The sequence below is a fragment of the Homo sapiens genome, chromosome X, assembly GCF_000001405.40.
Source record: "Homo sapiens chromosome X, GRCh38.p14 Primary Assembly".
Classification (NCBI taxonomy): Eukaryota; Metazoa; Chordata; class Mammalia; order Primates; family Hominidae; genus Homo; species Homo sapiens.
The window spans coordinates 53,382,401-53,405,423 of NC_000023.11; the positions used below are offsets into that span (position 1 = coordinate 53,382,401).

The 23,023-nt window shown below is 43.5% G+C and overlaps 1 protein-coding gene across 2 annotated transcripts in view, besides 1 other annotated feature; it reads right to left on the reverse strand.

Annotated features, from left to right (window-relative positions):
* Positions 1-23,023, reverse strand: part of SMC1A (structural maintenance of chromosomes 1A) — a 48,580-nt gene that overhangs the window by 8,252 nt on the left and 17,305 nt on the right. For both annotated transcript variants that reach the window (NM_001281463.1, NM_006306.4), the window contains 10 exons: positions 22,845-22,991; positions 22,612-22,749; positions 21,377-21,493; positions 21,166-21,272; positions 17,189-17,330; positions 14,072-14,217; positions 13,827-13,980; positions 12,378-12,488; positions 697-853; positions 106-260 (listed from right to left, as the gene is read on the reverse strand). In NM_001281463.1, coding sequence (NP_001268392.1) covers positions 106-260; positions 697-853; positions 12,378-12,488; positions 13,827-13,980; positions 14,072-14,217; positions 17,189-17,330; positions 21,166-21,272; positions 21,377-21,493; positions 22,612-22,749; positions 22,845-22,991 — 1,374 coding nt within the window. The remainder of the gene's footprint in view (positions 1-105; positions 261-696; positions 854-12,377; positions 12,489-13,826; positions 13,981-14,071; positions 14,218-17,188; positions 17,331-21,165; positions 21,273-21,376; positions 21,494-22,611; positions 22,750-22,844; positions 22,992-23,023) is intronic.
* Positions 17,397-17,932: an enhancer, noted in NCBI's record as "NANOG hESC enhancer chrX:53426719-53427254 (GRCh37/hg19 assembly coordinates)". NCBI's record gives its function as "activates a minimal SCP1, AML or CMV promoter by ChIP-STARR-seq in naive H9 embryonic stem cells {active_cell/tissue: H9 hESC(naive)}" and the evidence as "EXISTENCE:reporter gene assay evidence [ECO:0000049][PMID:30033119]".

Consider the following 23,023-nt stretch of genomic DNA (forward strand, 5'->3'; position numbering starts at 1 on the left):
GGTCAGGATCTGTATCTGAGACTGGATGGAGATAGGGACAGGAAGCCTAGAGGGAAGGACAACTGAGGATGGTAGCAGCTGGTTGGGTAAGGGGCTCCAGCCTACCTGGGCACTGCTATTGCGGGACAGGGCCTTATAGATCTCATCAATGTTGGTAGCCACAGATTCAAAACAAGCATTGAAGCGGTCAAAGCGCTCCTTCTTGATCTGTTCGAATGCCTGCTTGGCCTTCTTTGCTCGCTTTCGGGCTGCTTCAAACTCTGCCAGAAAGAAAGACAGGAGACCCCTCAGTGCCCTGGCAAGAAGGACCTGCAAATGACAATCCAGAGCAGGAACATCCCACTGAGAGAGAGGAATGCCTGAGGAGGGTCCCAGAAGGATCTGTATCCAGTGGACTGGCCACTGGATACAATGCAGAGCAAGAAACAGGGGCCTGGAGCCACACAAATATGGATTCCTCCCTGTGTTCTACCAGCAACCAGCTGTGTGACCTTGAACAGGTCATTTACTCTCCGGGAACCTCAGCAATTTTCCGTTCTATAAAGCAGGTGTAATAACCCCTACTGTTTAGGGCTCCTGAGAGTTTTAAGTAAGAAAACATGTCAGAACAGGAACTGCTGTGATGTATAGCAGGCCCGTGGCATACCCTTAGCCTCTTGTCCTCATCGTAGGCCCAAGTAGAAGGGTAAATCTTACCATCTGAGGTCTCCTGGAACTTGTCTCGGACACTTTCCAGCTTTTCCATGGCCTTCATGTTGGGGGCGGCAATACGCTGAAGCACACTCTGCTGCTCATTCAGCTTCTGCTGCAGTGTGTTCATCTCTTGCTTGATCTCTTCCTCAGCCTGGGCATCCTGTAAGCCCCAGGCCCAGCAATGTCAAGAAGGGCCTGGCCCCTGTGCCAAGGCCCCCACCGAAAGATGACTGACTGAGTGTGGCCTGGGCGCCTGCTCCTATACGGAGGGCAGGTTCTTCTTCTCCAGCTCGGTTCCTTCCACCAGATCCTACCCATAGTAACCATTCCCACCATCTCTGGAAATTATAGGCTGAGGCTGCTTTCTAATCTCTAGCTGCTTTCTAATCTCTAGCCCTTCCCCCAGGCCCTGCCAACCGCTTTGTCTCTCAGGAGGAGCAGCTGGTGGTGCCCCTCTCTGGCTCTCAGCCCAGGCCATGAGCCAGTACCAACCCAGGGTGACCTGGAGGCTCCCACACTGGCCGCTTTGGACTCCACTTACAGCTCCACAATAAGTAAGGCAATTCACGTTTTCTGCTTAGATCACTACATTTGAGCAAATTCCATTAGAGTTTAGTTTTAGTTCTTATGGATATTGCAATGCATGTCTGGGCTTGTGCCTTTCTGCCACTTTCAGTCAATAAATATTTATTGAATGCCTACCAAGTGCCAGACACTGGGGCCATCCTGTCCTGTGAGCCCTGGTTTCTGTGCTCACAGAGCTCAGGGGTCTAACAGAGGAATGCACATAAGTAAACAACCAGAATACTGTAGGATGAATGTGAAAACAATGATAAGCAGGCAGTGTTGACTTAGCACACAAGAAAGACACCTAACTCAGACTCAGGAGGACTCAGACTCCTAACTCAGAGATCAGGAGATTGATAGTTCTTGAGTGGTGAATGTTAGTACTATTATATTTAGTGAGCCTAGGGTATTTTGGGTATAAATAAGTATAATAAGTAGAGGGAGGGATCCCACTAGTGTATAGAATATGTGCCTGCATTGAGGTGTTCTGGATGGTTACCTCATCGGGTGATAAAAATTAAGGTAGGCTTCCAGGAATATGTTTAAGCTAAGGACTACAGGATGAACAAGTGAAGACAGAGAAAACGAATAGACCTTTTTAGACTTTTTTTTTTTTTTTTGGAGACAGAGTCTCGCTCTATTACCCAAGCTGGAGTGCAATGGCATGATCTCTGGTCATTGCAAGCTCCACTTCCCAGGCTCAAGTGATCCTCCCACCTCAGCCTCCCAAGTAGCTGGGACTACGGACACGCACAACCATGCCTGGCTAATTTTTGTATTTTTTGTAGAGACAGAGTTTCACCATGTTGCCCAGGTTGGCCTCAAATTCCTGAGCTCAACTGATCCACCCATCTCAGCCTCCCTAAGTGCTGGGATTACAAGTGTGAGCCACCATGCCCGGCCAGGAACAGACTTCTATGCAGTTGGGAGCATCACAAAAAAATAGCCAGGGGAGGTTGCTCATGGTCCGTTCATCAAACTGAAAATAATTCAAAAGAGAAAGCAAGCCAGGAATGGTGGCTCATGCCTTTAATCCCAGCATTTTGGGAGCCTGTCAGGAAAATCACTTGAGAATAGGAATTTGAGACCAGCCTGGGCAAAATAGGGAGACTCCGTCTCTACAAAAATAAAAAAATTAGCCAGACGTGGTGGCACATGCCTGTGGTCCCAGCTCCTTGGGAGGCTAACGTGAGAAGACTGTTTAGGCACAGGAGATCGAGGCTGCAGTGAACCATGATGGTGCCACTGCACTCCAACCTGGATGACAGTGCAAGACCTTGTCTCAAAAAAAAAAGAGTAATCAACTTCAATAAACTTCGAAAGCTAAAAAAAATATATATATATATATGGCAGTAGTAGCAATTGTGTGTGTATGTGCATGCGTACAAGTGTGTTGGAGGGCACAGAAAGAGAAGATGCTAGATAGACAAGTAGAAGCCAGATTATAAAGGGCCTTATAAGGTTTAGACTTTATCCTGAGAAAGGTGAGGTACCAGTGAATGATTTCAAGAATAAGAAGGACATAAACTTATGTACATTTTAGAAAGCCCTTATGAAGATCTCTATACACTACTTTGGAGTGGTCTCCAGAATAGGTTTTTTTTTTTTTTTTTTAAGTTTTTTTTTTTGAGACGGAGTCTTCCTCTGTCGCCCAAGCTGGAGTGCAGTGGCGCGCTCTAGGCTCACTGCAACCTCCGCCTCCCAGTTTCACGCCATTCTCCTGCCTCAGCCTCCCGAATAGCTGGGACTACAGGAACCCGCCACCATGCCCGGCTAATTTTTTTTTTGTATTTTTAGTAGAGACGGGGTTTCACCGTGTTAGCCAGGATGGTCTTGACCTCCTGACCTCGTGATCCGCCCGCCTAGGCCTCCCAAAGTGCTTGGGATTACAGGTGTGAGCCACCGCGCCCGGCCCCAGGATAGATTTTTAAGTAAAATATGAAAGCTACACAATAGTGTATCTATATTTTATTGAAGTGAAGGTAGAGGGAATACAAATATATTTCTATTTTAAACATATAACGGCAAGAAAAAGAATAATCCAAAAACTAATTAAAGGGTTATCTATCGAGAAAGAGAGGTGAAGGGGACAGGAATGGAAGCAAGAATTCTCTTCATGTACCTTGTTTTATACTTTTGATTTTAGAAACACATAAAGATGTTATATATAACTATTAAAGCAAAATTAAATCAAAATGTGAAAACCACTGGGTAAAAAATTGTTGGGGAACAAGATATTCATAAGATGCCAAAGCATCACTCTAAAGATTACTAATTAATGACAAAGGTAAAAGTGTACATTTAGCGTTGAAAAACCTAGCAACTGACACTTTAACTGAGGGATCAAACTCAGTATCACTAATAGTGGGTACATCCTGACATGATGTACCTCCTGGAGGGATGCCACATCAAGTTCACCAATGAAATGTTCTTGCCAAAAAATACTTAACATGAATCCATTGAGCCTCCAGACTGGATGAAATTTCCAATTTACAGGAGATACAAGGGTTGGAAGAACAGGTTAAATAATATTGTAAAAAAAAAAGAACATATCCATAATGTGGGACATTTTCCAAGAAAACTCTCATAGACTCTTTAAAAGATCAATGCCATGAATAAAAGGTAAAGGGATAGCTCCATATTAAAAGAAACTAAAGAGACATAATAAATAAAAGACATTCATAAATTTTGATTGGATACTAGTTTCAAAAAGAAAAAAAACTACAAAAGACACTTTTAGAACATCTAGAGAAATTCAAATATGGGTTGAAGATTAAATATTATGAAACCTAATTATTCATTTTCTTAGGTATAATATGAAATTACGATTAGGTAAGACAATCCCTTGCTCTTAGTATGCTGAAGTATTTAGGGCTGAAGTATCACGACCACACTTCCTTCAAAAGGTTCAGCAAAAACAAAAAAACTGCAAGTAATGGGAGGCAAGAGGGAAGGAGGGGAAAGACAGGGGAAAGATGAGAGAAAAAGCAAATGTGGTAAAATATTCACTGGTGAATCTAAGGTGAAAGGCATATGAGTGTTCACTATTCTAGTCTTTCAAGTTTTCCATAGGCTTGAAACATCTCAAAATTAAAGCTGGAAAAAAAATCAAAATGCTAAAAAGAGTAATCCCTAAAAATGAAAAACAAACTAAAACAAAGAAACCTAACTATATATTAAGCTGGTTAGACACTCAGATAATTCTTTCAAATTACTTTAAAACATAGGAACATGACTATACATTCCCAATGAGGCTTTCCTTAGCTTAATAATAAAAAGAATCTCAGAAAATCTTAAACTATTTAAAATTACATTCAATAATCAAATTGTTACTAATAATATATATATTTTTTGAGACGGAGTCTTGTTCTGTCGCCCAGGCTGGAGTGCAGCGGTGCGACCTCAGCTCACTGCAACCTCTGCCTCCCAGGTTCACACCATTCTTCTGCCTCAGCCTCCCGAGTAGCTAGGACTACAGGCGCCTGCCACCACGCCCGGCTAATTTTTTGTATTCTTAGTAGAGATGGCGTTTCACCATGTTAGCCAGGATGGTCTCCATCTCCTGACCTTGTGATCCACCCACCTCGGCCTCCCAAAGTGCTGGGATTACAGGCGTGAGCCACTGCGCCTGGCCCTTTTACTAATAATATCTTATTGTGATTTTTCAAACTAGTATATACAGAGTAGGATAAAGTAAATGTGTTATTATGTTAGTGTTGCTAGGAACTGAGATTTTCAGCAACAATAACTGGAAGACTCAAAAAGAAAATCAATGACGTTAAACTAAAAATTACAATTTCAATTCAAAGTATCAATATGAACTCATGATGCATTTTTCCTTCAACAAAAAAACCGCATTTAATAGCCCAATCTATTGAAAAGTTCTAGAAGCACTAATAAACTCAGCAATCATGAACACTCCAATATCCAGATGGTAGTTGCTAAATAATAGCATTTCCCACTAAAGGAAGTCAGAGCTTCCTGGAGAAATAGTGGATTCCAGGTCTGGGTGGAAAATGGGGAGGATGAATCTGGACATATTGGAAAGCAAGGGAGATATCAAAGACTACCAGGGTTGTGTTGAAATGATTCAGAAGCCAAACTGAATGAGTCACCATTGGCCAAAGATGGGACAACCTGAGCACCAAGAAGGATAATAACCACAACAGACTGAAAGACACCAAATATATTTAAATTCATAATGATATGAGAACTCAGTGGACAAATCTTGAGAAAGCCAAGGAAGCAATTCCTTATTTTATAAACTGATAAAGGGGGGAAAAAATCAAGCATATATAGCCTGCCTTTCCTATACAAACTGTATCTCAGAATAACCAAATAAATGATGAGAGGAAGTCTCTCTTTATAGTATTCCAGCCAGTAAACACAGAAATGATAGAGTAAGGTCACCATTTTGCAACCCCTGACTAATTAATGGATCTATGCAATAAGAAGCATGGCTGCAAACCACACAAAAAGAGCCACTAATGGACATTAAGTACCTTCTGATGGAAGTAACACCACCAGCTGTGAAGGAGCCGTAGCCACAACAAACAAGCGAACCCCAAAATCTGAATCTAACCAAGCCACTGTGCTGTCCAATCCGGTTGCCAGTAGCCACATGTGGCTACTTAGCACGTGATATTTGGCTAGTGCAACTGAGGAGATAAAATCTTAATTTTATGAAATTTTAGTTCATTTAAATTGAAAACCTGATATTCAATTCAGTTACTGGAAAACTTTGATGGATATTTGGAACAACTTGGGTATGTGGGTCTCCTTTTTCAATTGTAAATTTTAGGAAATCTAAATACAGATCAAGTATTTCTGAGGAAATTTTAGCATCTGAATTGAGACGTGCTGTGTTAAAATACATACTAGATTTTGAAGACAGTACAAAAAAGGATCATCAAATATCTCATCAATAATTTTTATATAGTTCACACATTGAAATCATACTCCTGAGGACACTAGGCTAAACATAATATAGTATTAAAATTAATTTCACCTTTGCCTTTTTATTTTTAAAATGTGGCTACTAGAAAATCGAAAATTGGCCAGGCACGGTGGCTCACACCTGTAATCCGAGCACTCTGGGAGGCCGAGGCGGGTGGATCACAAGGTCAGGATATCGAGACCATCCTGGCTAACACGGTGAAACCCCGTCTACTAAAAATACAAAAAAAATTAGCCGGGCGTGGTGGCGGGCGCCTGTAGTCCCAGTTACTTGGGAGGCTGAGGCAGGAGAATGGCATGAACCTGGGGGGCGGAGGTTGCAGTGAGCCAAGATCGCGCCACTGCACTCCAGCCTGGGCGACAGAGCAAGACTCCATCTCAAAAAAAAAAAAAAAAAAAAAAATTACATATGTGGATCACATTTTACCTCTTCCGAACAGCACTGATCTACATCTAACTACCCACTTACAAGAACTACAGAGGATAGCAGAACCATTTTTGTTTTTTTTTTTTTTGGTCGGGGGGGTGAAGGGAACATTTTAAACACTGCAGGACACAATCAGTAAAGTATAGAATGTGAACAATCCTTCAGAAGAAATGAGTCAATTTCTACAACAACAAAAAAATAGTGCAAAGAAAAATAAAAACAGGTGGAGGGGGATCCTATAAGTTAAATGAGATTCAAGTGACATATCAATTAATGGCTTTATCAATCATCCACTAACTATTGATCAATCATCTTATTTGACTTCCAATTCAAGCAGGTAAGCTGTAGAGTGTGTGTTTGCGTGTGACCATCATGGATGTGTAACACTAATTATTAAGAAATTACTGCCAAGCGTGGTGGCTCACGCCTGTAATCCCAACACTTCAGGAGGCCGAGGCGGGCGGATCACAAAGTCAGGAGTTCAAGACCAGCCTGGCCAATATAGTGAAACCCCATCTCTACTAAAAATACAAACAATTAGCCGGGCATGGTGGCGGGCACCTGTAATCCTAGCTACTCAGGAGGCTGAGGCAGGAGAATCGCTTGAACCAGGGAGGCGGAGGTTGCAGAGAGCTGAGATTGTGCCCCTGCACACCAGCCCGTGATAGTACGAGACTCTGTCTCAAAAAAAAAAATTATTTTTAGATATGTAATGGTTCTAATTATTTTTAAGAATTCCTATCTCTTTCAGAGATGTATCCTGCAATATTTGCAAATGAAATATGATGTCCAGAATTTCTTTTTTTTTTTTTTTTTTTTTTTTTGAGACGGAGTCTTGCTCTGTTACCCAGGCTGGAGTGCAATGGCGTGATCTTGGCTCACGGCAACCTCTGACTCCTGGGTTCAAGTGATTCTCCTGCCTCAGCCTCTCAAGTAGCTGGGACTACAGGCACGTGCCACCACGGCCAGCTAATTTTTTGTATTTTTAGTAGAGACGGGGTTTCACCGTGTTAGCCAGGATCAATCTCCTGACCTCATGATCCGCCTGCCTCGGCCTCCCACAGTGCTGGGATTACAGGCGTGAGCCACCGCACCCGGCCCAGAATTTGCTTTAAAATAACCTAGGGATAGGGAGGGATAATAAAGTGTCAGGGGGCGGGGGGGCCGGGCCCCATGGCTCACACCTGTAATCCCAGCACTTTGGGAGGCCAAGGCGGGCGGATCACGAGGTCAGGAGTTCGAGAACAGCTTGGCCAACACAGTGAAATCCCGTCTCTAATAAAAATACAAAAAAATTAGCCAGGCGAGGTGGTGGGCGCCTGTAATCCCAGCTACTTGGGGGGCTGAGGCAAGAGAATCGCTTGAACCTGGGAGGCAGAGGTTGCAGTGAGCCAAGCTTGTGCCACTGCACACCAGCCCAGGCCACAGTGTGAGACTCTATCTCAAAAAAAAAAAAGAACTGTGTGGGGGTGCACATTAAACAAGTTTGGCCAGCAGCTGACTGTTGTTAAAACTGGTGATGGCTATATGAGGGAGCACTGTAGTATTTTACTTTTGCATATAAAATTTTCCATAATAAAAATCTAAAAATAACAACAAAAAAATAAACTTGAAGTGGTTCCCACTGGCCAAGGATGAACAATGTGAGCATCAAGAAGAAAAATGGGGGCCAGGCGCGGTGGCTCACACCTGTAATCCCAGCACTTTGGGAGGCTGAGGCGGGTGGGTTACGAGGTCAGGAGATCGATACCATCCTGGCTAACATGATGAAACCCCGTCTCTACTAAAAATACAAAAAATTAGCTGGACGCGATGGTGGGTGCCTGTAGTCCCAGCTACTTGGGAGCTTGAGGCAGGAGAATGACGTGAACCCGGGAGGCAGAGCTTGCAGTGAGCTGAGATCACGCCACTGAACTCCAGACTCCGTCTCAAAAAAAAAAAAAAAAAAAAAAAAGAAAAAGAAAAAAAAAAAAAAAGAAGAAAAATGGGGCCAGGTGTGGTGGCTCATGCCTGTAATCCTAGCACTTTAGGAGGCCAAGGCAGGGGGATCACATGAGGTCAGGAGTTCAAGACCAGCCTGGCCAACATGGCAGAACCCCGTCTCTACTAAAAATAAAAAAAATTATCTGGGCATGGTGGCGCATGCCTGTAATCCCAGCTACTCAGGACGCTGAGATAGGAGAATCACTTGAACCCAGGAGGCAAGAGGCTGCAGTGAGCTGAGATCATGCCCCTGAACTCCAGCCTGGGTGACAGAGTGAGACTCCGTCTCAAACAAAAACAAAGAAAAATGGGCCAGGTGCAGAGGCTCACACCTGTAATCCCAACACTTCAGGAGGCTGAAACAGGAGGATCACTTGAGGCCAGAAGTTCGAGACCATCCTAGGCAACACAGTGAGACCTTGTCTCCACGTTAAAAAAAAAAAAAAAAAGAGAAGAAGAAGAAAAATGACTCCAACAGATTGAAACATAAAAGACATCTAAACATTGAAGTTTCTTTTTTGAGACAGGTTCTCCCTGTCACCCAGGCTACAGCGCACTGGTGTGATCTAGGTTCAGTGCAGCCTCAACCTCCCAGGATCAAGCGATCTTCCTGCCTCAGCCTCCTGAGTAGCTGGGACTACAGGTACATGCCATCACACCCAGCTAATTTTTAAAAATTAGCTCTTGGGCTCAAGCAATCCTCCTGCCTTGGACTCCCAAAGTGCTGGGATTACAGGCATGAGTCACCACACCTGGCCAACATTTATTTATTTTTTTATTTTTTGAGACAGGGTCTTGAACTATTGACATTTTGGGTCAGGTAATTCGTTGCTGTAGGGATTGTCCTGAGCACAGTAGGATGTTTAGCAGCATCCCTGGTGTCTACCCACTAGATGCCAGTAGTAACCCCCCTACCCCAGTTACGACAAGTAGGCGTGACAAGAGTATCTCCAGCCATTGTCATATGTCCCCTGGGGGAACAAAATATCTACCCTCTCAATGAGAACCACTCCTATAAAAGATAAGGACTTAAAAAAAATAGTAATACCACTATTACACTTAAAAATATTAACAATTTCCACGGCCGGGCACAGTGGCTCACGCCTGTAATCCCAGCACTTTGGGAGGCTGAGGTGGGCAGATCATGAGGTCAGGAGATCGAGACAATCCTGAATAACACGGTGAAACCCCGTCTCTACTAAAAATACAAAAAAATTTAGCCGGGCGTGGTGGCAGGTGCCCATAGTCCCAGCTACGTGGGAGGCTGAGGAAGGAGAATCGAGTGAACCTGGGAGGCAGAGCTTGCAGTGAGCCGAGACCACGCCACTGCACTCCAGCCTGGGTGACAGAGCGAGACTGTCTCAAAAAAAAAAAACAAAAAACAAAAAAACAAATTTCCCAGTCTGGATTTGGTTAACTACATCCCTGTGCATTTTTTTTTGAGACGGAGTTTTGCTCTTGTCACCCAGGTTGGAGTGCAATGGCACAATCTCAGCTCACTGCAACCTCAGCCTCCTGGGTTCAGGCGATTCTGCCTCAGCCTTCTGAGTAGCTGGGATTACAGGTATGCACCACCATGCCCGGCTAATTTTTGTATTTTTAGTAGAGACGGGGTTTCACCATGTTGGCCAGGCTAGTCTCAAACTCCTGACTTCAGGTGATCCACCTGCCTCAGCCTCTCAAAGTGCTGGGATTACAGGCGTGAGCCACCGCGCCTGACCCTCAAGTGCTTTTTTAACATTCCTCTGGCACCAGTGTTTCTGATAGTGTTCCCAAAGTGCTGAGATTACAGGCATGAGCCACTGTGCCCGGCCCTAAATATCTATTGAATTCTGGTTTTTGTTTCCACTGTCTCTAATGCAGGACACTTTCGTCTCACATAGCCAACTACAGGAGCCTCCTAAATAGTTTATGATGTGTTTCAATCATCATATTCAGGAGGATTGGATATAGAAGCTTGATCAGATCCACGTTTGTTTTTTGGCAAGAATACTTCATAGCTAATGTTGAACACTGGTCAATGTTAACATTACAAAGAAAGTGAGAACTGACATCAGGTGTCTACTGATGTGATGTAGAAGGAAGTTCACAAGTACACAACATCACCTATGATATATTCTTGCCAAAAAAAGAACTTGAATCCAATCAAACCCTAGATTTACCTACCAGTTTATAGGAAATACAAGGAATAGAAAAAACATGTTCAGTAACATCAAGGGGACATAATCAGCCAAATCTAGAATGCAGACAATTCTATAGTACCAACGACCCAGTTCCTTCCATAGATAAATACGAAGGAAAAAAATAAAATAAAAACGAAGAAGAAAATGTTATAGACTAGCAGAGACCAATTTTAACATATGGACCTTACTGGAATATTGATCTAAACACATAAACTGCAAAAAAAATAAAAATAAAAAAATATTATGGGACTTTCATGGAAATCTAAACATTTACTGATTAGATGATATTGTGGAGTTATTGTTAAATATTTTCAGATATAATATTATGGTTGTTTTTCTTAAAAGTTCTCATATTCTAGAGATACATGCTGAGGTAATTATGGATGGAGTAATGTCTAGTTTTCTTTAAAATACTCCAATGGGGGGTATAAAAAATAAGATTGCTTAACTGTTGAAGCTGAGTGCCTGAGGTTCATTATTATCATTCTCTTTACTTCCATATGCTTGAAATTTTCCATAAGTTAAAAAAATCAAATCCTCCTGAATATAATGATGATTGAAACACATCATAAACTATTTAGGAGGCTCCTGTAGTTGGCTATGTGAGATGAAAGTGGCCTGCATTAGACAGTGGAAACAAAAACCAGAATTCAATAGATATTTAGGGCCGGGCACAGTGGCTCACACCTGTAATCTCAGCACTTTGGGAGGCCAAGGTAGGCAGATCACCTGAGGTCAGGAGTTCAAGACCAGCCTGACCAACATGGTAGAACCCCGCCTCTACTAAAAATTAGCTGGGCATGATGGCGGGCACCTGTAATCTCAGCTACTTGGGAGGCTGAGGCAGGAGAATCGCTTGAACCTGGGAGGCAGAGGTTGCAGCAGTGAGTCGAGATCATGCCACTGCACTCCAGCCTGGGCAACAAGAGTGAAACTCCGTCTCAAAAAAAAAAAAAAAAAAAAAAGATATTTAGGAGGCAGAATCCATAGGGCTTGGTGCTTGGTAATTAATTGATTATGTAAAGTGAAAGAGGGAGAAGTCAAGGATGAGGCTCAAATTTCTGGCTGAGCATGTGAGTGGCACTGAGGAGATGGGTAAATATGGGGAGGAAGGCTAGGGCTTGAGGTACCTGTGGGACCTAGCATAGAGATTGCAGCGGAAGCCACGGAAGTAAAGTGATATCCAGGATGAAAGAATGCCAAGTGAGGAGGAAAGAGCCCTGAGGAACACCTGAGGTCAATCTGTTCACTGTACTGAAGTCTCTTCTCTGTGTGGACCTAGGCTTAGCTTAGTTATATACACACATGGAAGGGGAAGACTGATAGCAGGCAAGGGCAGGGGCAACTTGGGGTATGGGGTAGGGAATGTGCATATGTCTGTTTGAATATATGAGGTGGAGATCCTGCCTCACAACTGAATCCTCCCACCCTTGCCAGCTTTCCCCTCTTTCCAGCCATGGTCTTCACAGAGCCCCCAGATGGGCTGACCTCCTCTCTGGACAACTAGGAAGATAGTCCCACTCCCACCCAACCCCCACCCCCACCACACCCCTGTGGTTGATCCTCACCTTCAGATCCTCACACAGATCACCGTAGTCAATCTCAATGAGGGCCTCTCGTGCATAGATACTGGAAATTCTCTGTGAACCACTCACTGAGTCCTCCCCCTGGGAGCTACCCTGCAATGGCAACGGAGAGTCAAGTGGAGCAGACTGGCCATGAGAGTGCACCTCTATAGGGAGCTCCTTTGCAGCCTTCAATCTTTGAGAAAGCACCTTGCTAGAAAGCACCATGGCAGAAGGAACAGAGGCTTTGCAGGCAGAATGACTCAAGTTCAAAATTGAGCTCTATGGCCAGGTGCAGTGGCTTGCGCCTATAATCCCAGCACTTTGGGAGGCCAAGGCAGGTGAATCACTTCAGGTCAGGAGTTTGAGACCAGCCTGGCCAACATAATGAAACTCTGTCTCTACTAAAAACACAAAAATTAGCCAGGAGTGGTGGTGCATGCCTGTAATCCCAGCTACATGGGAGACTGAGGCACAAGAATCACTTGAAACTGGGAGGCGGAGGCTGCAGTGAGCCAAGATCACGCCACTGCACTTCAGCCTGGGTGACAAAACAAGACTCTGTCTCAAAAAATAAAAATAAAAATAAATAAAAAAAATTTGAGGTCTACACTTACTAACATTGTGATTTTGGGCAAGTCACATTCTCAGATCCTGAGTCTCTTCACCTGTAATGTGGGGATAATGCCTGTCTGGCAGGTCTGTGGTTAGGATTGGGGTAATTATGTCACATGCTACCATGATGCCCAGAACATTTCTGGTATTCAAAATATTTTACTGAATTAAACTGAAATGCCATTTGGAAAGTGAGGAGGGAGAAAGATACATGGGACTGAGATATATAACCAGGTCTAAGACAAGATATTAATATATGCAAACCTCCTCTCAGTTAACATTTCCCATCCCCTTGCTACAAATCTTTGCTTCCACTGCTCCTCTTTGGCTAGTATCTCTGGTTTTCCTATAACTAAACTTCCTCACCTCTGCATTGCTGATGTCCCTTACCTAACCCTCTCCTGGCCAATCTTCCTCACTGCAGCTAAGCTATCACCCTCAGGTCCCCTAGCTTTCTGTCTTCCTTTGCTCTTGGCTAATGTCCCTCAATTCCCACTCCTACCAATTTCTGTCACCTGCTGGAGCTAATATAGCTCAGGTCCCTAAGGTTAATGAATTACTTCATTCTTTCCTGGCTCAACTCTCTCACCACCCACTCACTGGCTTGCAGCTTTACTCCCAATTCAACTTCTCTCTCACACCAAAGCCATTATTACCTTTCGCCTCACCTGCCTTCACCACTGCACCTTGCCTCATTTCTGCTGCATCCCTTTTCATGTCCCTTCACCATCTGCCCACCATCTTTCTCTCTCTCACTGCCCTTCCTGGTCACTTTCACTCCCCATCCCTGGTTAATGATGTTCATCGCCCACTCCCACCACCAGCCACAATACTCACCTCTTCCTGACTAATATCATCCATGGTGCCTTTTGACAGTGGCAACTTAATGTCCTGCATCTTACAGGCCTGTAGCAAGTTGTGACGGTCACTGCGCTTCTGTTCAAGCTTGGTCTCAATGGCTGTCACCTCCTTCTGTAAATGGGTCATTTCCCTAAAAAAGGTCCAGGGGCTAGGTGAGACCCAAATCTGGCAGGCTGCCTGCTCTATCTACGTCCTCCCACCCCAGGCCTGAACCCACTCACTTGTTGGCGCCCCCGAGTTTCTTACGAATCTCCTCCATCTCATGATTCTTGTCATTCACTTCCGACTTCTTGGCCAGATGCTGATTCTTCAGGTCTTGTAGCTGAGCCATGGTCTCATCTATGATCTTCATGTGTCTTTGTTCCTCCTGGTCCCAGCAGTGGGAACAGGACAATAGGTGAAGACTTTCCCCATCTTACCCTGGGATATTCTCCTGCTCCCACCCTTCCTACTAGGCAGTTTATTGGAGTCACTCGTCAATGAGCTTTGCTTTCACACCCCCATCACCCCTCAGCCTCCTATCTTTTTAAAATTTGGTTGTCCTCTCCCACACACCCCAATTTTACAAGTTATCTAATATATGTAGAAAAGTATAGAGAAAGTATTAAGTGGGGAATCACTCACAATCTCATCAGCTAGATAATCAATTAACATTCTAGCACATTTTCTTTCAGCATTTGATTTACAGACAGTTTTACATAGTTGAGACTAGACTGTAATTAAAACTCTGTATTCTGACTTAATGTTATATTTGAGCATTTTTTTCTACATCAAAACTTTGTCATGTGCAGTATGGTAACATTTGTTGTTGTTGTTTTTTTTTTAAACCCACACAAACAATACTGTGCATTTTCTATGAATACACATATGTAAATGTACAAGTATTTAAGTAAATCCTTAAAGGGTCTGGAAGAATCACCTCTGGCAAGACGAAGGGGACTAGGATGAAGAGTGGTCAGCCAAAGGGGATTATAGCCTTATGTATAATGTTCTGATTTTTACAAAGGAAAATTTTTGTTTTCATTTTGATCTTAAGTCACATAAAGGGGGCCTGGTGGAGTGGCTTACACTTGTGATTCCAGCACTTTGGGAAGCCAAGGTGGGCAGATTGCTTGAGCCCAGGAGTTCGAGACCAGCCTGGACAATAAGGCAAAACCCCGTCTCTACAAAGAATACAAAAATTAGCTGGGTGTGGTGGCACACGCCTGTGGTCCCAGCTACTTGAGAGGTTGAGGCGGGAGGATCATTTGAGCCTGGGAGGCGGAGGTTGCAGTCAGCTGAGATCGTGCCTCTGCACTCTAAACAGGGCGACAGGGCGAGACCTTGTCTCAAAAAAAAAAATAATAATCACATAAAGGGGACATATCTGCAACTTACTCCCAAATGGCTCATAAAAAATAATAAGCATATATATAGAGAGAGAATGCAAAAGATAATGCGGCAACATGTTGATGACCGATGAATCTTGGTGATGGGTAGATAGGAGTTCTTTGTACTATTCCTTGCAATTTTTTGCAAAGTTGAAAATTATTTCAAAATAAAAAGTAAAAAAATTACATATATGTAATATCCCAAATCATCTAGGTATCTAACTTGTCTTGCCTCAGGATTTTACTGCCCAAGCTACAACTGCATTTAAGATTTCAGACACCAGGCCGGGCGTGGTGGCTCACACCTGTAATCCCAGCACTTTGGGAGGCAGAGGCGGGCGGATCACTTGAGGCCAGGAGTTCCAGACCAGCCTGGCGAACATTGTGAAACCCCATCTCTACTAAAATACAAAAAATTAGCCAGGCGTGATGGCGGGTGCCTGTAATTCCAGCTACTCAGGAGGCAGAGGCAGGAGTTATCGCTTGAACCTGGAAGGCAGAGGCTGCAGTGAGCCAAGTACTATTGCACTCTAGCCTAGGAAACAAGATCAAAACTGAGTCTCAAAAAAAAAAAAAAAAAAGATTTCAGACACTAAAGAGGACTACTTTAATCATCAGGGGTTAATGATGAAAACACAGAAACAAGCGACAAACATAGGCAGACATAAGTCAAACAATAAGTTCAAACCAAGAGAAGGCCAAATCACCTCAGGAGGGAATGCTGTAAGGAACAAAGGCTTCATAGTAGTTTAAAGAGAAAGGGTGTGAGAAAATTGAGTCATCACACAATACATGGTGGCACAGGCATGCTAAACTCAAAAGAACTGAGCTGTAGCAGTCAGTAGCACAGTCACACTGTGAAGTGACTAGGTTTCAGCAAAACATCATCATTTGTTGCACTGAATTTACATGGTCAATCTAAATTTTGCTCATTTTGTTAGTATTTAATTTTTAACTTTGTCTTAGCATTTGGTTAAGTGTTCTAAGTATATATATTTATATATACTTAAGTAACATCACGGATTTAAGGCAACACTGGCAATCTTAGGGACTATTTTTCCTTTAAAAAGGGTCTGTGTATTACTAAAGTTTGAAGACACTACATAAATAATGTTACAAACGTAGCATGATTTGCTAAATTCCCACTTTCCAAGGGGCACTGAGTAGTTTCCAATTTGGAACTATAAATAATGCTTGTTATAAACATCAAAGTGTTTGCATAAAGCTTTGCCAGCATTTTGGATGATCTCCTCAGGTACTACTGAGTTACAGAGTATAAATGCATTGTGAAGCTTCTTGAAGGATGGTGCCACATTACATAAGAATACTCGTCTCCTGGCCAGGCACGGTGGCTCATGCTTGTAATCCCAGCACTTTGGGAGGCCGAGGCAGGTGGATCATGAGGTCAGGAGTTCGAGACCAGCCTGGCCAATATGGTGAAACCCCGTCTCTACTAAAAATACAAAAATTAGCTGGGCGTGGTGGCAGGCACCTGTAGTCCCAGCTGCTTGGGAGGCTGAGGCAGGAGAATGGCATGAACCCGGGAGGCGGAGGTTGCAGTGAGCTAAGATAGTGCCACTGCACTCCAGCCTGGGCAACAGAGCAAGACTCCATCTCAAAAAAAGAAAAAAAGAATACTGGTCTCCTATACCATGGCTGGTATTGAGCATTGTGTCTTCTGTTTTTACATTTTCCACGATGTGTTACAAAATACATTGTATCTAATTGTTGCTTTAATTTGCATTTCTTTAGTAAGACTAAATTATTTGTATGTGTTTAGGGACTATTTGAAAGTCTTCTTGAACTGTTTGTGACATTTATCCATTTTTCCCGTTTAGGTCTTGGTATTTTTCTTATTGATTTAGATGAGAAATTTCTAAGTTGTGGACATTATCCTTCTGTCTGTCGTATTTCTTCCCATTTTTCCTCCCAGTTATTAGTCTGTCTTTTAATTCTTTCCTTCCTTACCTTTTTGAGCTTTTCTATCTCATTTTCATCTTTTTTCACTGTCTGCTCCCACATGTGTACTTTATCTTGGTCCTCCTTCAGTTGGTTCTTTTCAAAATCCAACTGAATGCCCAAGCGAGTCTTCTGATTCTCAAACTCCAAACTGTGTATAAAGGTGGGGGGAGAATCACTCATAATCTCATCAGCCAGAGATAACCAATGTACAAAATCCAACTATGGGAAGAAAGGGAAACTAGACCCAGGGCTCAGGGACCCAGAGTTACTGATTTTCAGTCACAACTTGCTTCATCCATCCATATGCACATAAAACGGTCCCCTGAAGCTGAAGAACTAAGTTCCTCAGCCTAGCCCTGTGGACATGGCATAAGGCAGGGAAGATTCGGCCAAACCTTATTTATCCCCCTTTAAACAATGAAGACCCCAGCGCCCTCCAAGTTCCTACAAGGAGGCATAAAAGAGTCCATCTGATTCTACCAGCTATGGTAATTCCTATTAGGCTTCTATGTACTTTACATACATTATCTCTAATCCTCTAATCAACAGCTCTGCAAGTAGGCATTATTATCCTAATTTTACAAATGAGGAAAACTTAGGCCAAGAGGTAAAAGACCTTGCCCAAGGCCACACAGCTAGTAAATGGCACATGTGAGACTGAAACCCAGATTTAACACCAAAACCCGGGCTCTTTCTAGTATACCACCACTGCAACATAATGTAGTGGATTAAGAAGACTGGCATCTCAACTCTGCCACTTACTAGTAATGTCATTCAGGCAAGTTGGTTATACTCTCCAGACCTGTTTCCCCATCTGCAAAATGAACATAATAATAGTACCTACCTCAGGGTTATTGGGAGATTTTTAAATGAGTTAATATGTATAAAGTCCTTAGAACCACACCGAGTCCACGATAACTACTCAATCAATTTTAGTTACCATTATCACCAGGTATATTGACTGTACTCAGCTTACTTTTGTCCAAGGGCTTCAACTACAGCATCCCAACTTCTGCCCCAAGGTCCCAGAACCTCTTAAAGGGCAGAACTTGGATAGTACAAAAACATGGAGAAAATACTGGATTCCTGCTATTGTCCTCCTCTCCATCTCTTCAGAAACTCAAGAGTATGCAACCAGCATACACAGGCACTGGCAGGCCAGGCAGGACTAACTTCCAATTGCCCTCTCCAACTCCCAATATGGTGTGACAGATGTTGCCAGATGTCATGCTAGCAGCTTAAACCTATTAGCCACTATAATCCAAATGAAATATAACTAACTCTATAATTTTGAGCTATGCAATTTTATATCCAATCTCCTAAGTATGACTCACAAAGGCCTCTGTGATCCGGCCCCTGCTGACCTCTCCACCACTCCCCACCTTCTTCCTGACCCTGCTTTTATGCTCCAGACATTAAAAACTACTTAGTATCCAGAACAAGGCATGCTCTCTCACACTTCCAAGCATGCTGTTCTCTCTGCTTGGAATTCACTTTTTCTGTCGCTGCCTGGCTGGCTAAATCCTACTCACTCTTCAGGTCTCCAGTCATCACTCCCTGTTTTGTAAAACCTTTCCTGACGGTTCTGAGCAGGTTCCTAGTTTCTATTACACTTTGTTGGGTTCCTCCCTTTTTAGACTTTAGGTGCAGAAGCAAGTTAATCATATCCCACAGTTCATAACACACTTATCACCACTGCCTGGGCAAGACCCTTCCCTTGTCCTCTTTGTTTCAATCCCCAATTTCCATTCCCATTACCTTCCCTACTGTGAACATGCACCACAAAGTGACATACACACATGCATTCCTTAAAAATGCATATCCTTGTAAAATGTCTTAGTTCTAAAATTTACACAAATCTACTGTGTTATAAATTTTATTCTTTTTTCTGGTCAATACCAGGTTTATAAGTTATCCATTACTGCCCACAAATCTAGTTCTTGCTGTGAACTCCCACACAGTATTCCAGTCTATATATTCATTTGACTTATGCTCCCCCAGTAATGGCCATCTACATTGCCACCAATGTCCCACTACTACAAGTTATGCCAAGATGAATGACACTGAATGTGTATCTCTTTGGGACCCTATGGCAAGACTCTCTCAGGGATATATACCCATAGGTTTTATATATGTGTATATATATACATTATATATATACACATATATTTTTTTCACATACTACACAGGACATCTATAGATTTCCACCTAATACTGTCAGACTTTTAAATTTGCATTTCTCTGATTAAGAGGTTAGACCTCAATTCCTATGGTCATTAGCCACTTGAACTTCTCTTTCCATGAAAGCCTATCTATATTATTTGCCACTTTTTTTTTTTTTACTTTTTTCATTGCATTGGGTATCATAAGTACTTAGCCACATTTCCATTGGGTTTCTTGTCATTGTTTTTTATTTTTCCTGTTGTTGATTTGCAGTTCCTTGAAAATTTCTTCAGTATTTTGTATCTACCTTAATTACACCATTGATCACACTGTCCTCAAATTGATGTTTCCCCCAGTACTCTATATGTTTCCTGAGGAAAGAAATACAGTCTGATTCAATTCTATATCCCTTGAGACTGGCTTGAAGTAGGACAGCAATGAATATTTACTGTATGGGCAAAGGGCTAAACTGCTAACTGAAGCCCAGGGTACAAGGGATGACCTCCTTCAGCAAAGACTGTGTTGTGTTCATCTGTCTTACCTCCATCTCCCTTGTCCCCCTTCCAATACCTAGCACAAGACAACCTGGCACAAGGTAGGTACTCAACAAAGGTTTGTTGAATGAATGAATCAACTAAAGTGAGGAAAAATGAGAAGATTATTTTCTTCTGACTATTGTTTCAACCAAGAATTTCATCTCCCGCCTCCCTCCACCTCACGTTGCCCATTATGATAATAACAACAAAAGCTACTATTTCTTGCTCTTAGTAGATGATATGTAAGCTGCTAAATACCTTTTAAAAAGGTTAAAAAAAAAAAAAAGCCAGGCGGGGGTTGGGGCCAGGCGTGGTGGCTCATCCTGTAATCCCAGCACTTTGGGAGGCCAAGGCGGGTGGATCACGAGGTCAGGAGTTCGAGATCAGTCTGGCCAGCATGGTGAAACCCCATCTCTACTAATAAGAAAAATTAGCCGGGCATGGTGGCGTGCACTTATAGTCCCAGCTACTCAGGAGGCTAAGGCAGGAGAATTGCATGAACACGGGAGCCCGGAAGGTGGAGAATGCAGTGAGCCGAGATCATGCCACTGCACTCCAGCCTGGGCGACAGAGCAAGACTCTGTCTCAAAAAAAAAAAAAAAAAGGGCCGGCAATATGGCTCACACCTATAATCCTAGCACTTTGGGAGGCTGAGGCAGGAGGATCACTTGAGCCCAGGAGATCAAGACGAGCCTGGGCAATGTGGCAAAACCCCATCTCTACAATAACAACAACAACAAAAAACAAAAAAAGAAAAATTAGCCGGGCGTGGTGGCAAACATCTGTAGTCCTAGCTACTCAGGAGGCTGAGGTGGGAGGACCACCTGAGCCTGGGAAGGTCAAGATTGACACTGCACTCCAGTCTCGGAAACAGAGTGAGATCCTGTGTCAAAAAAAAAAAAAAAAAAAAAAAAAGGTAAAACAGGTAATCTTAAAAAAAAAAAATTATTTCACCTAATCCTCCCAACAATGCCATGAGATAGGTATCATTATACCATTTTGCAGATATTGCAGCTTACAGAAGTCAAGTCACTGCCAAAGATAACGAGTTGTGGAGCTGGGGTTGTAATCCAGGAATCCAGAAAATCAAGTTTAGAGTTGGCACTCTTAACCACTATAACTATGCCATACTGCCCTCCTGATTTCTGTTCTTTAAGGCCTAGCTACATAAACTCACATAGTTCTAAGAGCTGACCCTTGCCTATGACAGCATCTGGTTTTCCAAGGATGTCAAGCTAGAGGCTCAAGGGCATGCCAATCTCTTCTACCAATCCTCCCACCTACCGCTTCTTGGCGATTTCATTCTGCCGTTTCACCTTTTCTTCCTCAAACTCCCGGATGTTGCGCACACCAATCTCCCGACAAAACTCTTCAAACACCTCATCCTCTACCTGAGAAGAGAAGCCAGGGAGGGCATCGGCCCTTTTAGTCTGTCCTGCTTCCAGTCCCAGTCCTGCCCTGACACACACGCTGGCATGGCCCACACCCTACCAACCTGGTTCATCTTCTCCTTCAAGTCTTTCATTTCCCTCTCTCGGCTCTGAATGATCCTCTTGATATCATTAATGCGAGGCCCAAAGTTGGCTAGCTCACTCTCCAGCTTGGATTTTTCCTACAGGCAATGGGTTGAGAGGACAAAGCAGACCAGGCTCCTTGGAGAAAAAGCTACCTTGACTGCATTGGCCCCACAGTCAGGAAGGGCTAGCTCTCCACAACTGAGAGAACCTGGCTTAGCACTACTGCCCTAGTCAAGCCTCCATGATGTTGCACTGAAGCCATCACATGGCTTCTTCCCTGGCATCCAGTTCAGCCAGCTTCAATCCACAGGGCTGGGGACACAGTAAACATCATTAGGTATAGGTCCCAGTCTTTGATCTACAACCCCTGGGGGCAGAGTTGTTTCAGAATTCAGTTTAGATTTTTTGAGTTTAGAAAAAGATATATAAATACACACACTACATATAAAACCTCTAGGGCGGTCTGGGGAAGTAGTCAGTAAAAAAAACAAAACACATTAATATACCTAGAACAGTCCCCCCCCGCCCCGCCCACTACCACAAGCAGGGACTGAAATGCCCATAGCTCACTTTCAAAAATTCAAATTTGTTGAATGAATAAATTATGCTAACAATAGCACATAACATAAACTGAACACATGGTAGTCTTAAGCACTTTACATGTTAACTCATTCAATAATGACCCTATAAAGTAGGTATCATTTATTTATTTTGAGACAGAGTCTCGCTCTGTCACCCAGGCTGGAGTACAATGGCATGATCTCGGCTCACTGCAACCTCCACCTCCCGGGTTCAAGCAATTCTCCTGCCTCAGCCTCCCAAGTAGCTGGGATTACAGGCGCCTGCCACCACGCCCAGCTAATTTTTTGTATTTGTAGTAGAGACAGGTTTGGCCAGGCTGGTCTCCAACTCCTGACCTCAGGTGATCCACAGGTGATCCACCGTGCCCGGCCGAGTAGGTATCATCTTAACTCGCATTTCACAGATAAAGATGTGAAGGTTGACACTGAAAGGTGAAAATACTTGCCTAATGTCAAACTCAAGGCAGAGCCAAGCTCTGAACCCCTGGCTGTCTGACTCTATGCTATACCTGACTCCCTGCGGCAGGCTGGGAGGAGACGGGGAAGTGAAACAAGTTCCCCACCCCCAGAGAAACCTAGGCCAGGAATGTGTGGATGGCCTTTGGAGAACAGGGCTGAAGGCCAGGCCCCACCTGCAGATTCAGGGCTAGATGTCGTGTCTTGGTCTGTTCTAGGTCACTCTGGGAGTACTTGAGCCGCATCTGCAGTCCATGGGCCTGAGACTGCACCTGACGCAGCTCTGCCTCTTTCCGTTTTGCCTTCATCTGCTCCTGAAGGGAACAAGAAAGAAGGGCTAGGTGGTAAGGTGGTGGCTGACCTAGGCTTAGGACTCCCACTGCTAAAAACAGCACTGCCTGTGGCTTACTTTCAGCTCCTCTGTCAAGCGCTCCTTCTTCTCTTTCAACTTGTCTACTGCTTTCTCATCCCAGCGCCGTGCCTTGGCCTTCAGGTCACTGGCCCCACCAGAGATCACTCCTGACTTCTGGAATAGGGTTCCATCCAGTGCCACTGTCTACACACAGCAGGGGGAAGAGAGAAGAGGGG